General features: G+C 36.7%; 1 protein-coding gene across 10 annotated transcripts in view; it reads left to right on the plus strand.

Moving 5' to 3' along the window:
- The window catches only part of MARK1 (microtubule affinity regulating kinase 1), a 136,326-nt gene extending 118,014 nt beyond the window's left edge, over nucleotides 1-18,312 (plus strand). For 5 of the 10 annotated variants that reach the window (XM_017001305.3, NM_001286124.2, XM_011509561.4 and 2 more), the window contains 5 exons: nucleotides 4,471-4,571; nucleotides 5,837-6,001; nucleotides 6,949-7,203; nucleotides 11,641-11,685; nucleotides 15,663-18,312. In XM_017001305.3, the coding sequence (XP_016856794.1) occupies nucleotides 4,471-4,571; nucleotides 5,837-6,001; nucleotides 6,949-7,203; nucleotides 11,641-11,685; nucleotides 15,663-16,017 (921 nt within the window). In that variant the 3' untranslated portion in view covers nucleotides 16,018-18,312. The remainder of the gene's footprint in view (nucleotides 1-4,470; nucleotides 4,572-5,836; nucleotides 6,002-6,948; nucleotides 7,204-11,640; nucleotides 11,686-15,662) is intronic. The other 5 variants (NM_018650.5, XM_047420844.1, NM_001286126.2 and 2 more) reach the window with 3 other exon arrangements.
- The last annotated feature ends 7,361 nt before the right edge of the window (nucleotides 18,313-25,673 follow it).

Here is a 25,673-nt window from a genome sequence, read left to right on the forward strand (position 1 = left end):
CTAGAAAATCCTATCATCTCAACCCAAAAGCTTCTTAAGCTGATAAGCAACTATATCAAAGTCTCAGGATACAAAATCAATGTGCAGAAATCACAAGCATTCCTTTACACCAACAACAGGCAAGCAGAGAGCCAAATCATGAATGAACTTCCATTTACAATTGCCACAAAGAAAATAAAATACCTAGGAATACAGCTAGCAACGGAAGTGAGGGACCTCTTCAAGGAGAACTACAACCACTGCTCAAGAAAATCAGAGGACCAAAGAAGATGGAAAAACATTCCACGTTCATGGATAGGAAGAATCAATATTGTCAAAATGACCATACTGCCAAAGCAACTTATAAATTCAATGCTATTCCCATTAAACCACCATTGACATTCTTCACAGAATTAGAAAAAAACTATTTTAAAATTCATATGGAACCAAAAAAGGGCTCGTATAGCCAAGATAATCCTAAGCAAAAACAAAGCCAGAGGCATCACGCTATCTGACATAAAACTGTACTACAAGGCTACAGTAACCAAAACAGCATGGTATTGGTACAAAAACAGGCATGTAGACCAATGGAACAGAATAGAGAACTCAGAAATAAAACTTGCATCTACAACCATCTCATCTTCAACAAACTTTACAAAAACAAGCAATGGGGAAAGGAATCCCTATTTTAACAAATTGTGCTGGGAGAACTAGCTAGCCATATGCAGAAAATTGAAACTGGACCCTTTCCTTATACCTTATACAAAAATTAACTCAAGATGGAGTAAAGACTTAAATGTAAAATCCAAAACTATAAAATCCCTAGAAGAAAATCTAGGCAATACCACTCAGGACACAGGCATGGGCAAAGATTGTATGATGAAATCGCCAAAAGGAATTGCAACAAAAGCAAAAATTGACAAATGGGATCTAATTAAACTAAAGACCTTCTGCATAGCAAAATAAACTGTCATCAGAGTGAACAGACAGTCTACAGAATGGAAGAAAATTTTTGCAATCTATCCATCTGACAAAGGTCTAACATCCAGAATCTACAAGGAACTTAAGCAAATTTACAAGAAAAAAAGAACCCCATTAAAAAGTGGGCAAAGGACATAAACAGACATTTCTCAAAAGAAGACATACACATGGCCAACAAACAAGAAAAAAAGGTCAACATCACTAATCATTAGAGAAATGCAAATCAAAACCATAATGAGATACCATCTCATGCCAGTCAGAATGGTGATTATTAAAAAGTCGAGAAACAACAGATGCTGGCAAGGTTTCAGAGAAACACTTTTACACTGTTGGTGGGAATGTAAATTAGTTCAACCATTGTGGAAGACAGGGTGGTGATTCCTCAAAGATTTAGAACTGGAAATATCATTTGACCCAGCAATCCCATTACTAGGTATATACCCAAAGGAATATAAATCATTCTGTTATAAAGGTTCATGCACACTTATGTTCATTGCAGCACTATTAACAATAGCAAAGACATGGAATCAACCCAAATGCCCATCAATGATAGACTGGGTAAAGAAAATGTGGTACGTATACACCACAGACTACTATGCAGCCATAAAAAGGAATGAGATCATGTCCTTTGCAGGAACATGGATGAAGCCAGAAGCCATTATCCTCAGCAAACTAATGCAGGAACAGAAAACCAACACCACATGTTCTCACTTATAAGTGGGAGCCGAATAATGAGAACACATGGACACAGAGAGGGGAACAACACACACTGGGGCCTTTCAGAGGAGGGCGGAGGTCGCGGGAGAGCATTAGGAAAAATAGCTATTGCATGCTGGGCTTAATACCTAGGTGACAGGTTGATAGGTGCAGCAAACCACCATGGCACACATTTACCTATGTAACCTGCACATCCTGCACATGTACCCTGGAACTTATAAAATAAGATTTAAAAATTAAAAAAAAAAAAGAAACAACATTTTAAAAAATAAGGGGAAGAAGAGATTTCTTTTAGGAAGACTCAAAAAGATTAAGAATGCTATAGTAAGTATAAAATACTGTATATAAACTTATGGTATAATTATATAAAATATCACTTTACTGTGAAAGAACCCCCAAAAAGTTGTTTACATGGTTGGTTTCCACATTGGGGAAGTTACCAAACTACAGTTTAAGAGTCTGCAAGGGTAGTTTTCCACCTAGTTCCCAAATCCTCAGCAGAAAGAACCTTACCTGCTTAGTGATAACTAGATCTTTTTTATTTGAACTAGGAAAGTCAGCTATAAAAGTTAGTTTTATATGAATGTATGACAAATGGAAGCAGTGACACTGTGTTTCCATAACTTTTGCATAATTGTATCTTAAATTTCCTTGGGGAAATACAACTGATGGTTGCCATACCTGAATGTCACTGGCATTGAAGCCCCAAGGCAAGGGAGGTAGAGTGGGAGGAGCACAAATTCAGAGGCACAGCTTGGAAGGAGAGATCCCATTCACCATCAGCCTTTGAAAAGGAAAGAAATGTCATTGAGAATAGCCAGAAACATTTTAGAGGCTTCTAGAAGATGTATGGTAGCATGATTTGACAAGGAATTAAGTTATTCATATGACAGTTTGGCCAAAATTATGAGATTATCAAAAGCAAATATTTTTATATTGGTACATTTGGTGCCCATGGGGTGATTTTACAGCTTTTCAGTAATCCTGTGCAGTTTTAATAATTGCCCAGGGTGTTTTTCCTGTTTCCTATTACGTATTTCTAAGATTTGTCCTCTAGATTTCAAATTTCCAGTTAATTTCTAGGGAATTAAATATTAGTAGCTTCTAAGAGTAAAGTAGGAAATAATTTAAGTGTTCAAAAATTAGGAATTTATTGATTAAAATAAAATATGGTATGTCTGTACAGTTGCATAGGCTACAGCTGTAAAACTTTAGTATCACTTGATGTGGATAGATGTTAATGACATGTTAAATGGGAAAGCAGGTAATGAAACAATTTCTTTCAAACTGTGAAATACGGATGACATTTCTAGTTTTTTGAGAACTTTTGTGTAAGTTAGTTTCATAATGCGTCTGCATAATCGAATCAATTTTCTTTGCCTTAATAACATGGACCAAGTCTTTTTTTTTTTTGGGGGACAGGATTTCACTCTGTTGCCCAGGCTGGAGTGCAGTGATGCAATCACAGCTCACTGTATTCTTCTCAAGTTCTTGGGCTCAGGTAATCCTCCCACTTAAGCCTCTCGAGTAGCTGGGACTACAGGTGTGTGCCATCACACTCAGCTAATTTTTTTGTATTTTTTGTGGAGATGGGGTTTTGCCATGTTGCCTAGGCTGGTCTTGAACTCCTAGCCTCAAATGATCTGCCCTCCTAGGCCTCCCAAAGTGTTAGGATTAGAGGCATGAGCCATCACAATTGGCCTACATGTTCCAAGTCTTACCTAAACATTTTAATAATCTTAGCCTGTTTTGCTACCATACTTTTATAGTTTTTAGCATATGCTTTTTATATAACTGGTGACAAAATTCCTTCCATCTAGGAACCTGCACTACTGAAAAATTTTAAATCTGTATTCAGTTTTGTTTATATGAGTTTTTTTCCTTCTTCAAAGTGAATTCAAGCAAGTATCTATTAAGTTTGTAGCCCTCATGATTCAACAATGTTTAGGTTGCTTATATATTTTAAATGCTGGGTTAGTCAAAAGTAGCAAAAATTTTTGTTCTGTTGGGTAAGGATTAAACAGAAGAGTATTATATCCACATTGAAAATCATTTCTGTATATTTTATTACTGGTGAGTAGTCAAGGATTTGGCAGGCACAACAGTGGGTTACAGGTCAAAGGTTGTGTGCATGGTAAGGAGAATTACCTGCCTATCCCTTTTTGCTTATTTTCTCTCTTCTCTCCAAGGCTCCTCAGACTTGGCCTGCCTTCTAGCTCAAACCTGAGACTCGAGGAAATATCTTCAGGGTGGCACTGCACACACCACTGTTGGTGGCCTCAGCTGGACATGCCTTTGATCCTGGGGCATTTAGTCTGCTTAATATTCCTGGTGGTTGAGAGAGTTTCCCAAGCAGGTGAAGAAAGGCAGCCCACTGGCTTCTGAGTGGGCATGCCATCTTCACTGCCCGAGGCTCCTGTTGGTGATGATACTTAGTGTGGAGTTGGCTTGCACTCCTTGTTACTTAGAGCTGCTCACACCCCTGCTCCTGCCCTTTCTCTACCACCAGCTCACAAAGGAGGGAGTGAATAGAAACCCAGCTCTCCTATTGCTTCCAAACTGCTGGCTGCTATTATAGGAGGATAAGCTAAAACTGTAATGAGTTCATTTTTGATGCTTTGTCTTTTACTTCTGAAATCTAAATTAGAGAGAGGCAGGGGATAATCTTGTTAATATAAGATTCTGATCAATTAAAATTCTGTGGATTTTTCTCAAAGTCAGCTTAAATACATTTCTTTGGCTTTCCACAAATATATTTATAATTTTTTAATTGCCTTTTTTTTATTCTTGAAGAACAATGTGTATTCTGGAGGTAGCATGGCAAGAAGGAATACATATGTCTGTGAAAGGACCACAGATCGATACGTAGCATTGCAGAATGGAAAAGACAGCAGGTAAATGCCACAGTGCCAAGTAGTAATACCTTTGCTGTTGTTCTGTGTTAGTGCCCTTGCTGAAATGCCTGCAGCCGAATGGGTCAGGAGAAAAGCAGTTATTACATGAAATAGTAAGATTGCAACCAACCGTTCTTAGTAAGACATCTTTCCTGTACCAGGATAGAAGGATGGGAAAACATTTAGAGAAAACAAGAAACAAATCTCTTTACCTGCCAATTTCTGAGTAAAATCTGATAGTAAATATTTTTCTATAACAAAGCAGATCATACCATCCTAATTTCATCTTCATAATTTGAATCTTATTCTCTTATGCACCTGCTGCCTCCTTCCCTTTCACTTCCCATCAAGTCATTGCTGTATCTCAATAAAGGCTTTATTTTTCTCCCTCTGAAAAAAATGTGACCATCTTATTTCTCATCATTCAGAACCACATAATTTTTAAAGTGTTTTATTTCAAATAATAATAAATCATATTATTTTTATTACTTAAAAGATGTGTCTTCTTTCTATCATGAGTCACAAGGACTACTCATCAATATAGTACAAAGACATGGAGCCTATTCTAATGAAATTATTTTCTTAGTACCACCTTCAGTCATTTCAGTAGTGTGTACAACCCATTCTCACATTTGTTTCTTCTCACTTAATAAGAATGTAAAGTAAGTGCTATTGTAAGGCATACAAAGAAAAATGTATCTTCTTTGGACATAAGATAATTGGAAATTGATTTCAGACTTATGATTTTTCCTATACTAAATTTTAATCTGCAGCTCCTTTAATCTGCAACAGTTAACCTATTGACTCATAATATGATCTAAAAGTGTTTTGATGAATCTAGAGATAATATTTTTGGTATAATTATCAATTCTGATTGTATGAATAATGGACAATGAACTACAGCAACATATCACACCAAACTGTGACTTTGGGGAAGTAAAAAATGACTCCAGTCATAATAATTTTATCTGAAACTATCGTATATCCACAAAAATAATTTTGTACTTTCTCACATTTACATACATAGTGTGTGTGAGATTTTTTTCATAGATGATAGTGATAAATTCACCCTGTATACTTTTCATAAGAATATTAATTGTTTTGTTAGTCATTAATAATGCCACTAATGTTAGTTTCTTTCAAATGTTTCAGTCATGAAAGGTGTTAGTCAGTTTAGATTTTTTAAAATATAGTTCTTAAATTTTAGTAAACCACAAATTTTCCTCTTTTTTTCCATGGTCTTCTCAACTGCTTTATGGTGAAAGCCTTACGGAGATGTCTGTGAGTAGCATATCTTCTGCAGGCTCTTCTGTGGCCTCTGCTGTCCCCTCAGCACGACCCCGCCACCAGAAGTCCATGTCCACTTCTGGTCATCCTATTAAAGTCACACTGCCAACCATTAAAGACGGCTCTGAAGCTTACCGGCCTGGGTAATGTGTTGGTTACATCTCATTTTGTTCATTAAGAGTTTCTAAAAATATAGCACCATGTGAAAATACATGATAGTCACCATCACATTAAGACCTTTCTAATAAGATTCAGTGTTTGTTATGGAGGAAAAATTGAATTGTAACATAAACTTTCTATGTACTTTGGCTGTTATTGGAAATGTTGCATATAACTTAAATCATTTTCTAGAGGAATTTTTTTAAGGATTTGATTTTACATCCGTCTATAAAGTTAAAAATTGCTGTTTAATTTGTCATTTAGGTAAATTGATTTTTTTATTATTTAAACCATACGAACAAACACTAGACTGTGAGTTGAGACCCGCAGATAATGATCAGGCTCAATTCCTTGTTCTTAATAAAACCAGGCTTCAGTTTTCCTGTCAATGAAACTGATGAACTCAAAGAGCCTGTTCAGATATAAAATTGTATAATTGTTTTTCTAGTATTTTTCTATTTTAAGATTTCCCAAATTCAGTACATCTGAACATTTTAACCCTCTGTTAGATTTGTTAGGCATATTGGTGGTGCCATGTGGTATTGTAGCATCACTGAGGCCTAAATTAGAAATAGGAAATTATTTTATTCAAAGCCTTTTTAATAAACAATAAAATTTGTGTTCAACATTGCTAAGTGGTTTCAGGAGAATATTAAAAAAATATTTGCAGTACTCCTGGTTTGGCATTCCTGATACTGAAAAGTATTTATCTTTGTGTCCCTGTTTCAGTCATTTCTTGATTTTTAGTGACCAAACAAAAGGTACCTAATTTCAAACTGAAATTTTACTCCAAACCCATGTCTCACATCTCTAATGTGAACAAATAAAGTAGGGCCAAAAGAAGTAGCCATAGCTATTTGTTTCAAGTTTTTAGCTTGAGTGAAAGGTTTTCTTGTCATTATTCTGAATGATATATCTTAATTTGTCCCAGCAGTACAACCCAGAGAGTGCCTGCTGCTTCCCCATCTGCTCACAGTATTAGTACTGCGACTCCAGACCGGACCCGTTTTCCCCGAGGGAGCTCAAGCCGAAGCACTTTCCATGGTGAACAGCTCCGGGAGCGACGCAGCGTTGCTTATAATGGGCCACCTGCTTCACCATCCCATGAAACGGGTGCATTTGCACATGCCAGAAGGGGAACGTCAACTGGTATAATAAGCAAAATCACATCCAAATTTGTTCGCAGGTCAGTACCAATGTACTGTCGTGTTTTGATTCCTCTAGAAATTATAAAGGAAACTAGACTTTTTAAAAAAATCTTTATAATAATTTTCTAAAATGGTTTCATAACATTTCATTAGAGCTGCTCTTTTACAGAGTTGGAAGAAAAAAATCTAGGAAGACATAAAGTATTTTTCCTTAAGAGAGAGAAAGGAAAAAATGGACAAAATGAGATTTTAAAAATCTGTAAAATAAAATGGAAAGAACAAAGACTTAACTTCAAAAATGTGTGTTTTAACAAAAGATTATTTTATATTTAAAAGCCTTGATTGAGGAAAAGAAATGAGTTTACATGTTTCCTTCAAATTTATCTTGACAATACTTTTAAATTGCTTACTAATAATATATAATTTACATTTTTTTCTTCTTGCATAAAAAGCCTACACACCAGAGTCACAGATCACTTATGCAATTTTACATCATAAAACCTTATCATCAAAACATAGTAAACACAAAATGAATACATGTATAGTAAAGGTCTAATCTACTTAAACAATACAATTATACTTTCTAAAAAGTAAGCATACTTACTATGCTTACTATGCATACGTGTACAGTGCACATTGATGATACAAGTTGCTACTACAATGCAGGCTGATGTGGATTTCATCTATTCCTGGTCCCACTAAATGCCTACTTAAGCCCTGCGACAGACAAAGCACTGTGTTAGGTGCAGAACAGAATCTAAAGATAGGTAAGATGGCATCTGTGCCCTCCAGATTCTTATAGTCTTGTAAGAAGCAGACAAACAACTAGCCATGATATAAAGCAGAACATGTGCTAAAAAGTGTGGGCAACATGCTGGATTCCAGAGGAAGACACAATTGTTTCTATCTAGGGAGACAGTGAAGGCACCCTATCATATAATCATTTCAGCTGAGCCTTCAATGATGGGTAAGAAATAATTATACTTGCTTTAAGAAATACTAATTAAATACTTAGTTTCCAATGTTATTAGTGTTTCTAGGATTTCAAAGAGTGGATGTGGAAAAGAGAAGAAGCAGCTTCAGTCTTACTTGCCTTGTCATGGAGCTATTTATAGGCTTGGTTCATACATCAGTTTGCCCAGTATCACATAGCTGAATTAAAAACTTTAAAGCCTCAAATGTAACATAAATTTCTAACCATATCAGTCAGTGACTTTGTACCATTGGGGCAATTACTATGCAGCATGAAACTTGCTAGAGAAAGAACTAAAAGTTCACCAACAGAGTCAGCATGGAAGTTAGATCATAGTGTTAGCCGGCCATCTGCAGGGTACTAGTCAGATTATCAGTAGTTTCTGCTTTTGGAATTTGTCTATTTAAGGCCATTTCAAAAAGCCAGTACTTTCTCATGGTTAAGCCAGAATTAATTTTAAAGTGAAGAAAAATAGGTTTATAGTTTAGTGCTTGATTACTAATTGTGCATTAAGCATTGTGCAAAATATTTCTCTTAACTGCAACAAAAATTTAGACTCTAGGGGAAACAGAGTACTTTGGAAAGGAAGTCGTGAGATAGAATGCCAAAGCAAGAAAGTGCCTTAGAGCTGGTCTGTTGGGAGGTTCTGATAAAGATTGCCATATAGTCTTTGAACACATATGTGGAGACCTACTACACGCAAGGCCCTTTTGTAGGAGCTATTGCTACGGCAGTGAGTGAGACTGATGGGTCTCCTGCCTTCCTGTGAGCAACTTACTATCTTGAAACATTCCACACATTTAAAGCGTTTCCCTTGCTTGGCTCTGGTTTTCTCCTACCTCACAGACTAGCTATCACTTCTCAGGCTCCTTTGCTGGCTTTTTTCAGATTCCCTTGCCTTTCCCCCAACCTCTAAATATTAGAATGCCCCAGAGCTCAGTCTTTGGACACATTTTTTTCTCTGGTTTTCCTTACACTCTTGGTGATCTCAGTCAGGCTCATGACATTAGATTCCGTCCTGTATGAACAACTCCTAACTGTATCTCTAGCGCACATCTTTCTGCTGAACTGCAGACTCATATCCAACTGCTGCTCAGCCTCTCCACTTAGATACGTTATAGACTCTGAAACAGAACATGTTCAAAAGTAAACTCTCGTTCCTCTTCCCAAACCTGTCCCTCCCTCATTCTTCACCGTGTTAGAAATTGGCAGCCTTGTCCTTACAGTTGCTCAGACCATAAGCCTTGGAGTTATCCTTGACACTTCTTTTCCTCATACCACCTCAGATCCATTGGCAATTTGTGTTGGCTTTACCTTCACAGCATTTCCAGGATTTAACTGCTTGTATCACTCCCGCCACTGCCTTCATACTCTGAACCACTATTCATCTTTCACTTCCTCATAGGTCTCCTAGTTTCTGTCCTTGTCCTCCTCTTCTGTTTCAGCAGTGTCATGTCAAGTCTGATCATGTCACTCTTAAATTTAAAGCCCCTGATTAGCTTTCACCTTGCTCAGAATACAATTCTGTGCCCTCACTGTGGCCTGTGGGGCCTTGTGTAACCTGGCCATCCATTTCTGCTCTGACCTCTTCTCCCACTCTTCCCCTTGCTGCTTCCACACCAGCCACACAGGGACCAGACTGTCCTCAAGTACATTAAGCACTGCTTTGGCATTGTGTACCTGCTATTCCTTCTGCCTGGAATTCTCTGCCCTGAATACCTGCATGGCTCACTTCTACACCAAACCTTATGATTTTCTAACCATAGCTCATTCTTATATAGGGAACAACCCAGTTTGTTCAGTTGAGTATATATTGCTATCTGTAGGTAATTGTTTTTTAAGTGTTAAGTGTTGGAGAGCATGCTGTGCTGCATATGCTGTTAGAGCCAGCTGCACCTTCTGTAGCTCCATCTGCCTCCTACCATGGCTACTTAAAGCAGACTTCCTGGGCTCTTTGAAACAATTGCCAAGTAGCAGAAATTTTTCCAATGTTCCTACTGGCATCCAGGTAGGCAGGAACAGGGTATGGGTCAATTGCTATTTCAGTCAATTACAGCAGAGGAGATAGGGTCTAAGGGACATTTCACTCCTAATGTTTTAAGTTTGGCAGCTGTGGTATAGGTGTTTGCTAATAGTGAATAATAAAGCATAATATAAATAGGACAGAAAAGTCCAGTGAGATTTTTGTCCCTTCCTAAAGGAATTTTGTCTTAGCAGTGGGAGTCAACAGCATTACTGTCTTGCTTGCCAAGTTGGTATACTGCCCATCTGTGTATATCAGTTCATCTACATGTAACTGAAAATGTACATTTCACTTTCAGCCTGCTCAAAAATGTTTTATTTATTTCAATGTGCTATAATAAAAATGGATTTGTATAGATGGCATTGAATTTTTATTATACTTCCCAATGAAAATGCCAGTTATTAAAAATAGAAATTTAAGAAATTACATTTGAATGTGAGAATACATTTTAGTATTCTTTTAAATTCAGATAGAAAAATTTTTTTTTTCATAATATGTTTGTTAAGAAAGGCATGTATTAGTTAAAGACCCTGAGAGGCATAAGGCGTTCATATTCTTAAGAACAATTTAAAATTTTAGGGCTTGGTATGTGGGTGTGTTTTATGAATTTGGGGGATGGGAGAGTACCACTGATTTTATTCTTATTGCATTCGTTTTACATAAATAATAGAAATGTTTCTGGAATGGCTAAAACATTAAGACAGTATTAACTTAAGGATTCAAGTTGGTGATTTTTCCCACTATTTAATAGTATTTTACCCTTTATCACAAGATATTTAATTACCTTTAAAAATAACAAAGCATTAAAATTTTGGTAGACTTCAAAAATATTAATTACATGCAACACAGAACAATTAGTAGTGTTTTCCTGGTTTTATTTCGCAGGTGGATATCCAGGTAAGGTCAGTGTTTTTATTTAAGATTGAATCCGTGTTTTTAGACTTGCCTACATGGATAGGCTGTTAATTTGCTGTGATATTTTATCATGTGCATGAATTGTTAGCATAACTTCTAAAAGAAATTGCTTATTTGGAAATTGGTGTTTATTTGCTAACTACAAGGTTAATGTATATATTTTCTAAATTGAGCGACTACTAGAATTATACATAATTACAAATTTGAAGTTGAATCTTGCTATTGATAATTATTAAATAGTTTTAACTTTAGATTAAACTAAACCAAAAGATAAATTATGACTTCAAATGAATCATGGCTGGGAATTGGAAGATTATGAAAAAAAAATTTCAAACTTTCACCTCATATTGCCTCTTGACAAAAATGAGTAGACGCTCAATAAATGATAAATTACATGCGGTTATGGTGAAAAATATGAGAAATAGTCTCAGACTGACTAGTAATAGAAAACTGTCATGGTAGAAGTTTGCTCAACAAGCTAATTTTAAAATAATTTTAGATATAGGTTTTCTTGATATATTTTTTACTTTTATCATTAAATCTCAACCTTCACTTTGTTTTGAGGGATCCAAGTGAAGGCGAAGCCAGTGGCAGAACCGACACCTCAAGGTGAGGAGCCACTATTAATACTTCGCTGCTAGGTCCCTGTGTATGAAAACGTACTTTTGAAATACTTACAGCACTTAATGATCATGAATAGATCTAATAACTAGATAGCATGCGTATTTTAGATTTTTATATTGGGGTGGGTTTTCATAATGTTACCTAGCATTCAAGTCAGTCAACTTTAAGTTTGTTTTCCAAACATGCATTTGAATTGTGTACTTGGTATAGAAATAGGCTTTCTGTTCTATAAAGTATGTCAAGCTAAAGAATTAATAGATTAAATGTACTGATATTTTTCTCACTAAAGTAATGTAACTAAAATTAGTCTGAGTCAAATAGCACAAATAACACAGAACAGGGAGATAATTACATGTAGGAAGATTTGATATTAGTAATATATTTTAGGTGATAATTCAGTGTTTGACCACATTTAAAAATTCTATCCAGGCATACTTTTGGGGATTTCTTTTTTTGACATTTCATGCTAGTTGTATATTCATTCTGGCAATGGGTTTCATACTTGAGCACAATCAGAATTACAGGGAAGGCTTGATAAAAAGGTTGCTGGATCCCACTCCCAGGGTTTCTGATTCAGGGGCCGAGGCAGGTGCCTGTGCATTTGCATTTCTATCAAGTCCCCAGGAGATGCTTATGCTGCTGTTCTAGGGACCACATTATGGACATGTTAGTACTTGTGTTCATATTTTACAAACGGGAAATTTAAGAAATGAAGACATTAATTTATTTTGAGTGTACCCAAGCATTAAGGGATGCAATGTAAATTTTACAACCAACAAGTATTCCACAGTATGAAAGGCTCTGGCTTCATTCAGGAACGATTGTGACCAGCTGAACACAAACCTCCAATTTGATTTCTACTTTTCAAGTTACTTAAAATATAAAACATAATTAACTTTGGAAAACTATAGCATTCCCATGTAGTCTTTTTAACAAACTGTGCTATATTTACATTTAGTAATAATAGTTGAAATGTTTCTTTGTAGAGTTAGGTACCTGAGTCACCACAGTAGGGAGCCACAGGGGAGCAAGACAAATATTCTTCACTTTCTTCTGCCTTTTATAGAAACATGGAGGACTTGTTCTTAGCCTCTCCCTCACTTAGTCTTCACTTTTGAGCCCCTCCTTGCATTTCATCCTATATTTCCACTAAATTTCCCTCTGAGACATTTAGTAGTGTGTGGCATTGCAAGTGGCCCTTAATAGTTGCATTTTTGTCCTTTTAATGTAACTATATAATTTTATTACATTATAAGAATTAGTAACTGATATTTTATAAATGTTTACACAATACTTTTCACATTCCCTTTTGTTTGGTTGTTGTTGGGTTTGGTTCTATTTTTGCTTTTGAACTGACTTATTGAATACTAACTATAAAGTACTTTCTGATCATTTAATTTTCACAACAACTAGGTGAAAATGCCTATTTTACAGATGAAAAAAAACAGCAAGGAACATAGGTGGGATCAAGCCAGCTATAATAAGGTTCTGTCATTTCAGGGAGATGAGGTGATACTGTGGTTAGAAGTATAGGTTCTCAGCCAGAGTGCATGGGTTTCAGCTATGTTCCACCACTTACCTTACTGTGTGGCTTTGGGGAAGTTACTTCAACTCTGCGTGCCTCCATTTCCTCACTCTAACTGCCTCATAGGGTTGTTCTGAGGGGTAAATGAGTAATTAATACATTTTAGGCACTTAGGACAATTCCTGCACCTAGTAAGTACTCAATAAATGTTAGCTGTTATTATATTAATATCCACATTTCCAGGAGCTTTCTACAATGGACATTATCAGTGGTAATGTCTGTGAGACCATGCAGAAAAATATTTCATTGTCTTAAGGTCATCTTAAGGTGGAATAGAAGGAAACTAGACTTAGAATAATATCCCTAAATTCTAGTCTTCACTTTTCAACTCATTAGCTCTATAACTTCAGAAAACTAATTTTTTTTTTTCTTCTGAGACAAAGTTTTGCTCTGTTGCCTAGGCTGGAGTGCAGTGGCACGATCTCAGCTCACTGCAACCTCCACCTCCCAGGTTCAAGCAATTCTGCCTCAGCCTCCCAAGTAGCTGGGATTACAGGCGCTTGCCACCACACCTGGCTAATTTTTGTATTTTTAGTAGAGACGAGGTTTCACCATGGTGGCCAGGCTGGTCTCAAACTCCTGAGCTCATGGTCCTGCCACCTTGGCCTCCCAAAGTGCTGAGATTACAGGTGTGAGCCACAGAAAACTAATTTTAAGTTTTCCAGCCATCAGTTCCATCTTTAAAATGAGTGCTCAGTCAACTGATCTCTCAGGACCCTTCCAGGATGCCGATTCCACCAGAATTATACATGTGACCTTGGTAAATGACTCTGGTTGGCTTGCAAGCCCTAAGAGGCCTGTGATGCAATGGCTTAGATTCAGTGGGCAAAAAGAGAAAAATAGAGAACACGATGAAGTAAATACTTTCCATACTTATTAATGGTCTTTGGAAATTTATTTTCTCTACGTATTCCTTTCCTTATTTTCTCAAGATTGCATAGTTTGCAGAGCTTTGGGGACTCAGATACCTAGGCTCAGACACCTGGAAATGAAGTAGATAATATATATAAAATTACACATGAATATATATCATACTATTGATACAAAATGTATATATATTAATTTAAAAGATGTATGCAGTAGATTATAAACTCCTTTCAAGGGACTTTTTTTTTCTTAAATCACATAAGTGAGATAGGTTAACAAGTTGCAATTATAACATCTCTATTTGGATAATTGTTCAAGAAATTTAATTACAGGATTTTCTGTATCACGAATAATCTATTAACTTTGATGAAGCTATGAAGGTTTCTTTCTATGACTGTTTGAAATAGGCTTTTTGTTTCCATATTACTTGGGGGATGCCTGCAATAAGTAAAATTCAGTGAGATTTAGTCATTTAACAAATATGTTAATTATTACTATGTACCCAGCACAGTTCTAGATGCCCGAGATATATCAGTGAATGAAATAGACAAAATTCCTTGCCCTCCTGGAGTTTACAGTCTAATGGTAGATTCAGACAACACCCTAACAAATGGGTTAAATAATATGTTAGAATGTGTAAGTGCTATCAAGAAAAATAAAGCAGGCTAAGGGGGCTTGGCCATGCTAGGATAGGAGTTAGGGTACAATATGAGCAAAGATTTGAAAAAAGCAAAGGAGTTAGCGTCGCAGCCATCTGGGGAGAAGCATTCATGACAGAGGGAACAGTCTGTGCAACAGCCTTGTGGCAAGAACATAACCCGTGTGTTCAAGGAGCAGCATGGAGGCCATTGTGTTCTGATAGGAGTGAGGAAGGAGAAAAATTCTAGGAAATGGGATTGGGGGTAGTAGGAGTTGGAATGGAAGTCATGGGGAACGTTGTAGACTGTTTTAAGGATGTCTTTAGTGAAATGAGAAGTCACTGGAGGACATTGAGATGTGTGGTATAATCTAACATCTTTACCTAATTGCAGTACAACATTCTTTCTCAACCTTACCAGGTAAACGAATTATCTTTCCCTCTGAAGTTACGACATTCCTCCTATCCAAAAAGGCAGAAAAAAGAAATTTTTTATATTTCAAAAATGTATATTTACAAATAGAATATTAGTGGTTCCTATTTTGTGTGTGTGCTTGAACAGAGAAATATGGAACTGAAGAAGGTATTAAGTTCTTCACTTTCAGTTGCAGACTTGTTTCCCTCAAACCACTTATATTTAAGAAAAATGCTATTTTAGATTGACAATATTAAAAGTCAAAACAGATGGCATCTTGGGGTGTGTTTCTGTAACAGCAAGATAACATAAATCTTTGCGTCCATCTGAGGGTGGTCTGCAAATTAGGTAGTGTTATTAGGCACTGAACTATGACCACTTAGATTTTATGTGTGTTTTGATCTCTTTGCTGAGTGAAATATTTGCTTTCATTCTTTCCCTTTGCCCTCTTGTTCCAGAAGTACATCAGGGGAACCAAAAGAAAGAGACAAGGAAGAGGGTAAAGATTCTAAGCCGCGTTCTTTGCGGTTCACATGGAGTATGAAGACCACTAGTTCAATGGACCCTAATGACATGATGAGAGAAATCCGAAAAGTGTTAGATGCAAATAACTGTGATTATGAGCAAAAAGAGAGATTTTTGCTTTTCTGTGTCCATGGAGACGCTAGACAGGATAGCCTCGTGCAGTGGGAGATGGAAGTCTGCAAGTTGCCACGACTGTCACTTAATGGGGTTCGCTTCAAGCGAATATCTGGGACATCTATTGCCTTTAAGAACATTGCATCAAAAATAGCAAATGAGCTTAAGCTGTAAAGAAGTCCAAATTTACAGGTTCAGGGAAGATACATACATATATGAGGTACAGTTTTTGAATGTACTGGTAATGCCTAATGTGGTCTGCCTGTGAATCTCCCCATGTAGAATTTGCCCTTAATGCAATAAGGTTATACATAGTTATGAACTGTAAAATTAAAGTCAGTATGAACTATAATAAATATCTGTAGCTTAAAAAGTAGGTTCACATGTACAGGTAAGTATATTGTGTATTTCTGTTCATTTTCTGTTCATAGAGTTGTATAATAAAACATGATTGCTTAAAAACTTGTATAGTTGTCTAGATTTCTGCACCTGAATGTATGTTTGATGCTTTGATTTGAAAATGTTCTTCCCTGTTATTTACATTCTGGTGGGTTTTTAAAATTCTTACCTCCATCATGCAATTTTGAAAATTGTGTCCAGAATTAAAAGTGCATAGAAATAGCCTTTACAATTGTAGCATGGACCTTTAAAAATTGTTTTAAAATCTTATTTAAATTTAAACCAGAAGCTGAAAAATAGATCAGCTTTATTATACACAAAATTATTACTGCTTATCTTTGCTCTTTTCCTTGTTATCCCGCAAGGTTTAGTTGAGAAGATACAAAATGTTTACAGTGTTGGCACTTAGAGTTTTTAAATTCAAGTACATGAAATTCAGTAATAGCATTGCCTTGAGCTAACTAGGAAGTACCGGGAAAAAAGTTAAATCTACATCAAGTTTCTTTTGAACTTTGAAGTGTTTTCTGACCCACTGCTAACTGTAGCAACAAAATTTAAAAGAAAAAAAACATACTTTATCTGGCTATTATAACATAAACTGTCACGTAGGTTTGCTGCCTTCAGAATACCGCAATTTAATTGCGGGAATATAATAATATTGGGACTGTTTCACAGCACAAACTCATCTTTACAGTGTTGATCAATGCATCAGTTAAGAAATAATGCCACCTCAGGAATTAACTGGCATTGGGAACATTTGCCTCATTCTCCTGCTATCCTCTTCATTCACCCCTGCCACTGTAATATCTATAAGTACTTAAGAGACTTGTGAGCAAAACATACTATTTATAACAGTATATGATTGATTTATGCTTATGTGGTTGTTCAGTTTGTTCCCATGTAACTCGTTTGTTTTAAATATTTTGCCAGATTTCTTGTATTTATTCCACATCATTATGCCTATAATGTGCCGCTTTGTGATTGGGCATTTGCCTACTTTTCTTTCATAATTAGTGATATATGCGATGTAAAACCACTAGTAAAGGTACATTTTAATACTTGTTATTTTATACTGAATTAGCCTTGGAGGTTGACTGTGCAATGTTATTTACTGTTGTAATTACTGTAATACCAACATATGGGCCCCATCTGCACACTCCTGAAAAACAGAAAGTGTATTCAAATTTTATCAGTTTAAAGAAAATAAAGCTGTGATAAATACTGTAATTCCAACCTACATTAGAAGGTCTAAGTGTAGGTGATGTGCCATTCCATAATGGCTTCCAGACTAGGGTGAATTTTATGTTCTGTACTGTACTGTGATGTAGCTTTCTTCTGTAACAGTTATGTTTTAAAATTAAGTGAGTTTTTTTTTTGCCTTAGCAAAGGGTGGTGTTTGAAAAAAAAAATGTGTAGCCCCTTTTTAACCTAGTGTTCATTCAAAAAAAAATTGATGCAAATCTTTATTCACTTTCACTGGTGCACACTGAAATTTTACTTGAACAGTTCTCATAATAAAGCACTTGTCTTTTGCTCTTTATCAGAATGTGAATTACCTGTTTTCTGGTACAAAAGTATTCTGTATGAGGAGTTTATTGTATGTGTTCTAAATTTAGTTGGCAAAGGGTGAAGCTGTGAAGGTTTTCAAGATTATTGAAACTATGAAGGTTTCTTGTCATTATGACAAGAAAGTTTAATCTTTTTATAGGAATTCCTGTCACTGAAATACGTTTTTAAAAAAATAGACTCATGTGTTTTCCACGGTAGAAACTGATATTTTTTTACATTTTCTCACTGTGGCCAACTCTTCTGTGTTTGTAGAAAGGAATTTGACTTCAATATCTTTTATGAACTAAAAATGAAATCTTGATACTCACTTTAGATTTTTCATTTTATGTGTTCATGACAACATAAATATTTTTCAAAGATTTAGAGGAATTTTGCAATGTGTTTGCATAAATAAATACCAGTTTATGTTCACCGGCTATGTGATACCAGGATTTCCTTGGCTTCTGTTGAAATATTATTTGATATGACATCCCTTATATTAAATTAATTATTTTGTAGAAACTGGGGCACAGCATTTTATTTGTTAAATGAAAAGAATAAGATGAAATATACTCCAGAACCTTGATCCAATAATATTCTCTAAGATAGAATTTGATTTAAAACCTAAAAGCTCTTATTTTGAGGTGATTTTCACCAACAGTGTCATTTCGCACCATGGGGGGAGAAAAGCATACGGTGAGCAGCAAGGCACCAATTTACTGTAAACTAGTGATTCCATTAGCCTGTGCAAATTAATCAAGCTGACCTCTGCCTTCATTTTCGAAATACCCATTGAAATACCTACTGTGTCTTAAGATACATAAAAAACAATTATAAAAGATGGTTCCTACCTCTCTGAGATTTTGGTCCATTTGAAAAAATAGATGTAAATATATGCACAACTAAAACATACACACACACAGAGAGGAAACTGAAAGCGCTGAAACAAGCACAGATAATAGATGCTATAGAAATTCAGAGAAGAGTGAATTCTGTATGGACATTGGAAAGGTGGGTCTTTTAAGGGATTTGAAGAGTGGGTAAAATTTAAGAGACAATAGAAAAGATCCTACAGATGGAAAAAAAGCTACAAGTTAGTAATAGCTCTAAGTCATGTTAAAAAATAAACCACATATTCTAGGAAGTGGCAGGGTTCACATAGCTTGATTAATAGCTGATTATGTAAAGCATTAATTGGCAGTCTCAGCTTGGACTTGATCTATGGATAGAGGGGAGAAATTATGAGGTTTTTTTAAGCCAAGGAAGTACCTAATAAATTGGTTGTTAAAGAATGGCTTATTGGCCGGGCGCGGTGGCTCACGCCTGTAATCCCAGCACTTTGGGAGGCCGAGGCGGGCGGATCACGAGGTCAGGAGATCGAGACCATCCCGGCTAAAACGGTGAAACCCCGTCTCTACTAAAAATACAAAAAATTAGCCGGGCGTAGTGGCGGGCGCCTGTAGTCCCAGCTACTCGGGAGGCTGAGGCAGGAGAATGGCGTGAACCCGGGAGGCGGAGCTTGCAGTGAGCCGAGATCCCGCCACTGCACTCCAGCCTGGGCGACAGAGCGAGACTCCGTCTCAAAAAAAAAAAAAAAAAAAAGAATGGCTTATTAATTCAGCAAGTTTGTTGAGTGCCAGGGTACATTAGTGTCTAGGTTCTAGGAAATAGCAGTAAAAAAAATGTATCATAGAAATGTATGAACTCGATTAAAGACTAGAGGCAGGAAGATCTTTTCAGAGGTTAAAACAATAAAGCATGAATGAAATAGCATAGATGTGGGGTGGTTAACACAGGGTGGAAAAAGGTAAAAGGAAAGAGACATTTCAAAAGATGTATCAACAAGGTATATGAGAGACGTTTCAAAAGATGTATCAACCTGGTATCATGGGCCAAGTGCAATGGCTCATGCTTGTAATCCCAGCACTTTGGGAGGCCTAGGTGGGTGGATCACTTGAACTCAGGAGTTCAAGAACAGCCTGAGCAACATGGTGAAACCCTGTCTCTACAAAAAATACAAAAATTAGCTGGGCATGGTGGCATGCACCTATAGTCCCAGCTACTTGGGAGGCTGAGGTGGGAGGATCGCTTGAGCCTAGGAGGCAGAGGTTGCAGTGAGCTGAGATCATGCCACTGCACTCCAGCCTGGGTGACAGAGTGGTCCCTGTCCCCCCTCCATCTCCAAAAAAACAAGGTGTCATGAATAGGATTCACAGACTGTAAGAAAGATGATTGGGTGGGAGCAGAGCTTCCTGGCATAGGATTCAAGTTTTCAGCTTGCATTTTAAGACTTCCACTTTCACTTAACGTGGAGCAGCAAGTACCAGATTTACTCTCCCACCTAAGACAATGAAGAAACGAGATATATGAAATAATAAATTCACACAATGTTTTCATCAGAATAAAAACAATTTTTAAGATATTGGCTATTAGTCAATGAAGAACAATGATCCTTGAGAGGAAAACAAACAAAATGACCTCTATGATTGGCCCAGCCTGTGGCACACGGAGAGGAAAATCAAGTTGGAGCTTGGCATTCTCTCTGGTTAAGAAGTCAGAACTGAGAGGCCAGGGAGGCCAAGACAGCTAGAGTCTGCAGGGAAGAGCGGGGTGGGGGGATACCAAAGAAGCAGCTCTGGAGATCTGCAGAAATCAGCACATGAATGTAAGAAAACTAAATGAGGCCAGTGAAAGAACCACCTGAAAGTATTAGAGGGAACAATTCATCGAACCTCATGCAAGGGTAATGCCTGTTCCACCCAGTCATTTGTAGAAAACAATTCATGGAGCAGTGGGCATAGTACTCAGAAGAGTTTTGCCTCAGTAGTGGGAACTACTTAGCACTAAATACTGCCTTGGTACTGCTTAACACAAGCCATATCCAGAAGGATAAGGGTTTCTGAGTAACAACTGTGTCCCAGAACAAAGCTCAAGAATATAGTAATAGAAAATGTGCCAGGCACGGTGGCTCACGCCTGTAATCCCAGCACTTTGGAAGGCTGAGGTGGGTGGATCGCCTGAGGTCAGGAGTTCAAGACCAGCCTGGCCAACATGGTGAAACTCCGTCTCTACTAAAAATACAAAAATAAGCCAGGCGTGGTGGCACATGCCTGTAATCCCAGCTACTGGGGAGGCTGAGGCAGGAGAATTGCTTGAACCTGGGAGGTGGAGGTTGCAGTGAGCCAAGATCGTGCCACTGCACTCCAGCCTGGCTGACAGAGTGAGACTGTCTCAAAAAAAAAAAAAGAAAAGAAAAAAATACAAAAATTAGCTGGGTGTGGTGGTGCATGCCTGTAATCCCAGCTACTCGGGAGGTTGAGGCAGGAGAATCACTTGAACCCAGGAGGCAGAGGTTGCAGTGAGCCGAGATCGCACCATTGCACTCCAGCCTGGGCAACAAGAGCAAAACACCATCTCAAAAAAAAAAAAAAAAAAGAAAAAGAAAACAGAAAATGTGCATCACTCAACAAGGTAATAGTCATCATAGCTTGCATTAATTCAAGGTTATCCTGCATGCAAATATGCGGGAAAATACAACACATAATGAGAAATATCAATTGACACTGAACCAGAAATGGCAGAGATGATCAAATTGATGGACAAAGACATTTAAACAATTATTATAACTATATATGTTCAGAAAGGTAGAAAAAAGGTTATGTTAAGTAGAGACATTTCATGTAAAAAAAAAAAACACTATTCAAACATCTAGAAATGAAAATTAAGATTTCTGGGGCCAGGCACAGTGGCTCACACCTGTAATCTCAGCACTTTGGGAGGCCGAGGCAGGCGGATAATGAGGTCAGGATATCGAGACCATCCTGGCTAACATGGTGAAACCCTGTCTCTACTAAAAATACAAATAATAATAATAATAATAATAGCCAGGCATGGTAGCTGGTGCCTGTAGTCCCAGCTAGTCAGGAGGCTGAGGCAGGACAATGGCATGAACCCAGGAGCCAGAGGTTGCAGTGAGCCGAGATCACGCCACTGCACTCCAGCCTGGGGGACAGAGCGAGACTCCATCTCAAAAAGAAAAAAAAAAAGTTAAGATTTCTGAGGAGAACACACAAATGGAATTAGTAGATTGGGCATTGCAGAAGGAAAGATAGTGGACTTGAACATATCACAATAGAAATCCAAAATGAAACAAAAAAACAGCTGAAAAAAGATTAGAGAGCCGTAGGACAATGTCAAGCAATCTAGTATATGTGTAAAGTCCCGACAAAGAGGAGGAGGTGGGGAGAGAAAAAATGTTTGAAGATATAATGACCAGAATTTTTCCAAATTTTCAGGAAACCATAAACAGACCTAAAATGTTTCATAAATATCAATTAAGAAAACTATACTAAATTTTCATATCACAGGTTGCTTAAAACCAGCAAGGGGGGAAAAAAACAGTAAAATCAGCCACAAAAAAAACCAGACATATTACATAAGGAAGAAAAAGGAACAAAAATAAGAACAACAACTGACTTCTTGCAGAAATGATGCAAGCCAGACAAGTATTGGGAAAAATATAAAGTATCAAATTAGAATTCCATACCCAGATAAAATGATCTTTCTAAAACAAAGGTGAAATAAAGATGTTCAGACACATAAAAGCTGAAATAATTTATCACCAGCAGACTTGCATTAGAGCTGAGAGGCCAGGGAAAGAAATGTTAAATAAAGCTCTTCAAGCAGAATAAAATATATACCAGATGGGAGTCTACAAAAAGGAATAAAAAGCACCAAAAATAACAACTATGTTGAGAGTAAAAATATTAACAATGCATTGTAAGATGTATAACATGTAAAAGTAAAAGTTATGGCAACATAGTACCAAGGTTTTTTGCAAAGCTCTTATATCATGTATGTGGTGGAGATGGAGTATGTTAAAGATGTGTACTGTAAACCTTGCAGCAACCACTAAAAATACAAAACAGAATTATAACTAATGAGCCAGCAAAGAAGACAAAATGGAATTTTTAAAAATTCTCTTAGAATTACATCAAACTTAAAAGCTTCTGCCCAGCAAAGGAAACAATCAAAAGAGTGAAAAGACAACTTACAGAATGGGAGACTATATCTGCAAACTGTTCGTCTGAAAAGGAGCTAATATCCAAAATATATAAATGAACTCAACTCAATAATAAGAAAACAAATAACCTGATTGAAAAATGGGGAAAGGACCTGAATAGATATTTCTCAAAGGAAGACATTCTAATGGCCAACAGTCATAAGAAGGGAGAATGCTCAATAGCTCTAGTCATCAGGGAAGTGTAAATTAAAACCACAATGAGCTACCACCTCACACCTGTTAGAATGACTGTTATAAATTGCTGAATGATTAATAAATGCTGGCAGGGATGTAGAGAAAAGGGAACTTTTGTACACTGTTGGTGGGAAAGTAAATTAGTACAGCCATTATGGAAAATAGTATGGAAGTTCCTCAAAAAATTAAAAATAGAACTACCATATGATACAGCAATCCCACTACTGGATATACATCCAAAGGAGATGAAATCTGTGAGTTGAAGAGATATCTGCACTGCCGTGTTCACTGCAGCATTATTAACAATAGCCAAGATATGGTGCCAACCTAAATGTCCATAAACAGATGAATGGACAAAGAAAATGTGGCATATATACATAACGGAATACTATTCAGCCTTAACAAAGGAAGGAAATGCTGTCAATTGTGATATGAGTGATACCTCCAGGACATTATGTTAAGTGCAATAAGCTAGACACAGAAAGACAAGTACCCTATGATCTCACTTACAGGTGGAATCTAAAAAAGTCAAACTCATAGAAGCAGAGTAAAATAGTAGTTACCAGAAGCTGGGGGTGAAAGGATAATTGGGGAGATATTGGTCAAAGGATACCAAATTAGACAGAAGGAATAAATTCAAGAGATCTATTGTATATCACAGTGACTGTAGATAGTATGTTTCATACTTGAAAATTGCTAAGACAGAAGATTTTTAAGTGTTCTCACACAAAATATGATATGTATGTGAGGTAATACCTATGTTAAATAGCTTGATTTAGCCATTCCACAATGTATACATATATAAAAACATCATGTTGGCTGGGTGCAGTGGCTCACACCTGTAATCCCAGCACTTTGGGAGGTCAAGGCAGGAAAATCGCTTGAGCCCAGGAGTTCAAGACCATCCTGGACAAACAGTGAGACCCTGTCTCTACAAAAACTAGAAAAAATTTAGCCAGGCATGGTAGTGTGTGCCTGTAGTCCCAGCTACTTGGGAGATGGAGGTGGGAGGATCACTTTGGCCTGGGAAGTTGAGGCTGCAGTGAGCGCAGATCGTGTCACTGCACTCCAGTCTAGGTGACAGAGTGAGGCCCTGTCTGAAAAACAAAAATGAAAACAAAACCATGTTGTACAACACAAATATAATAATTTAACTTATCGGTTAAAAAATGTTTTAATTGAACCAGAAAAAAAAAAAACACAATCCAAAGGAAGGCAGTGGGGAAGAAAAGCAGAAAAAGAAACAAAGGAAACAAAAGAATAGATGACAAAATAGAAAACAAACAACAAATGGCAGTCTTAAACCCAATCATATCAAAATTACATTAAATGTAAATGGTCTAAAAGCCCCAGTGCAAAGGCTGTACTTGGCTGATTTGATTAAAAAATCAAGACCAACTATATGCTGCCTACAAGAAACCCACTTTTAATATAGACACAAATAAGTTAAAAGCAAAAGGATCAAAGAATCATGAGTTGCCTAGTTTAGAAGTAAAAATAATGTTTGCTTTCAGGCTTAGAATTTTTAAATCATAGCATAAAGATAATCAAGCTTTACCCCTCTATTTAACACATAAATAGGTTGCAGCTCAGTGCAACAACTTAGATGGCAGGCTAAAGTGATGGACTCTGAATGAAATATCCTATAGACAGATTATAAACTGGAAGCTGGATCTAAAGGCAGATTTGGATGTTCTCAGTAAACATATGATGGTTGTAGATTCAGGACATGATCAGTAACTGAAATAAAGAATATATAGTCATGATCCAATGATAGGTACTTGGGGGAACACGAAGAAAATTTATAAATGTTTTCAAATGTGAAAATCATATATCCTTTATCTATGGGTTTGGAAACATTAAACATAAATTATTTATTTGGGGAGTATAAAATTTAATATTTTCCATTCTCTAAATTAATATTATAACTGAATTATTTATTGCTAAAAATTAGATTTTTGCATTTATGTAGAAACTTGTCTACATTACATTTAGAACTTTTTTAAAAGCCAGAATGGTTAAAAGTTAATTTTTTTCATTCATCATATTGGTTGGTAATAGCATTTGCATTTTCTTTTTTTGGTTTTGTTTTTTGAGATGGAGTCTCGCTCTGTCACGCAGGCTGGAGTGCAGTGGCATGATCTCAGCTCACTGCAACTACCACCTCCCGGGTTCAAGCTATTTTCCTGCCTCAGCCTCCCAAGTACATGGGACTACAGGCATGTACTACCACACCTGGCTAATTTTTGTATTCTTAGTAGAGACAGGGTTTCACCATGTTAGCCAGGATTGTCTTGATCTCCTGACCTCATGATCTGCCCGCCTTGGCCTCCCAAAGTGCTGGGATTGCAGGTGTGAGCCATTGCACCCAGCCTGCATTTTCTGTATGTGTAATAGAACACCACAATACATTTTCATGAGTATAAAGCAAGAGGTATGTGAAAGAGAAGGATATGTGATGAAAGTGAATTATCTGGAAAAATTACCCCTTTAAAAAATTACAGCCTGTTTTACAAGGCTGTTAGGACACAGTATAGTATGGCAATAAGTACAAAAACCCATTTGTAGATATGGAGTGTTACATATTAGAAACATCATCTTTTAAAAATCATCAATATTTTAAAAA

Source organism: Homo sapiens, chromosome 1 (genome assembly GCF_000001405.40).
Source record: "Homo sapiens chromosome 1, GRCh38.p14 Primary Assembly".
Taxonomy (NCBI): Eukaryota; Metazoa; Chordata; class Mammalia; order Primates; family Hominidae; genus Homo; species Homo sapiens.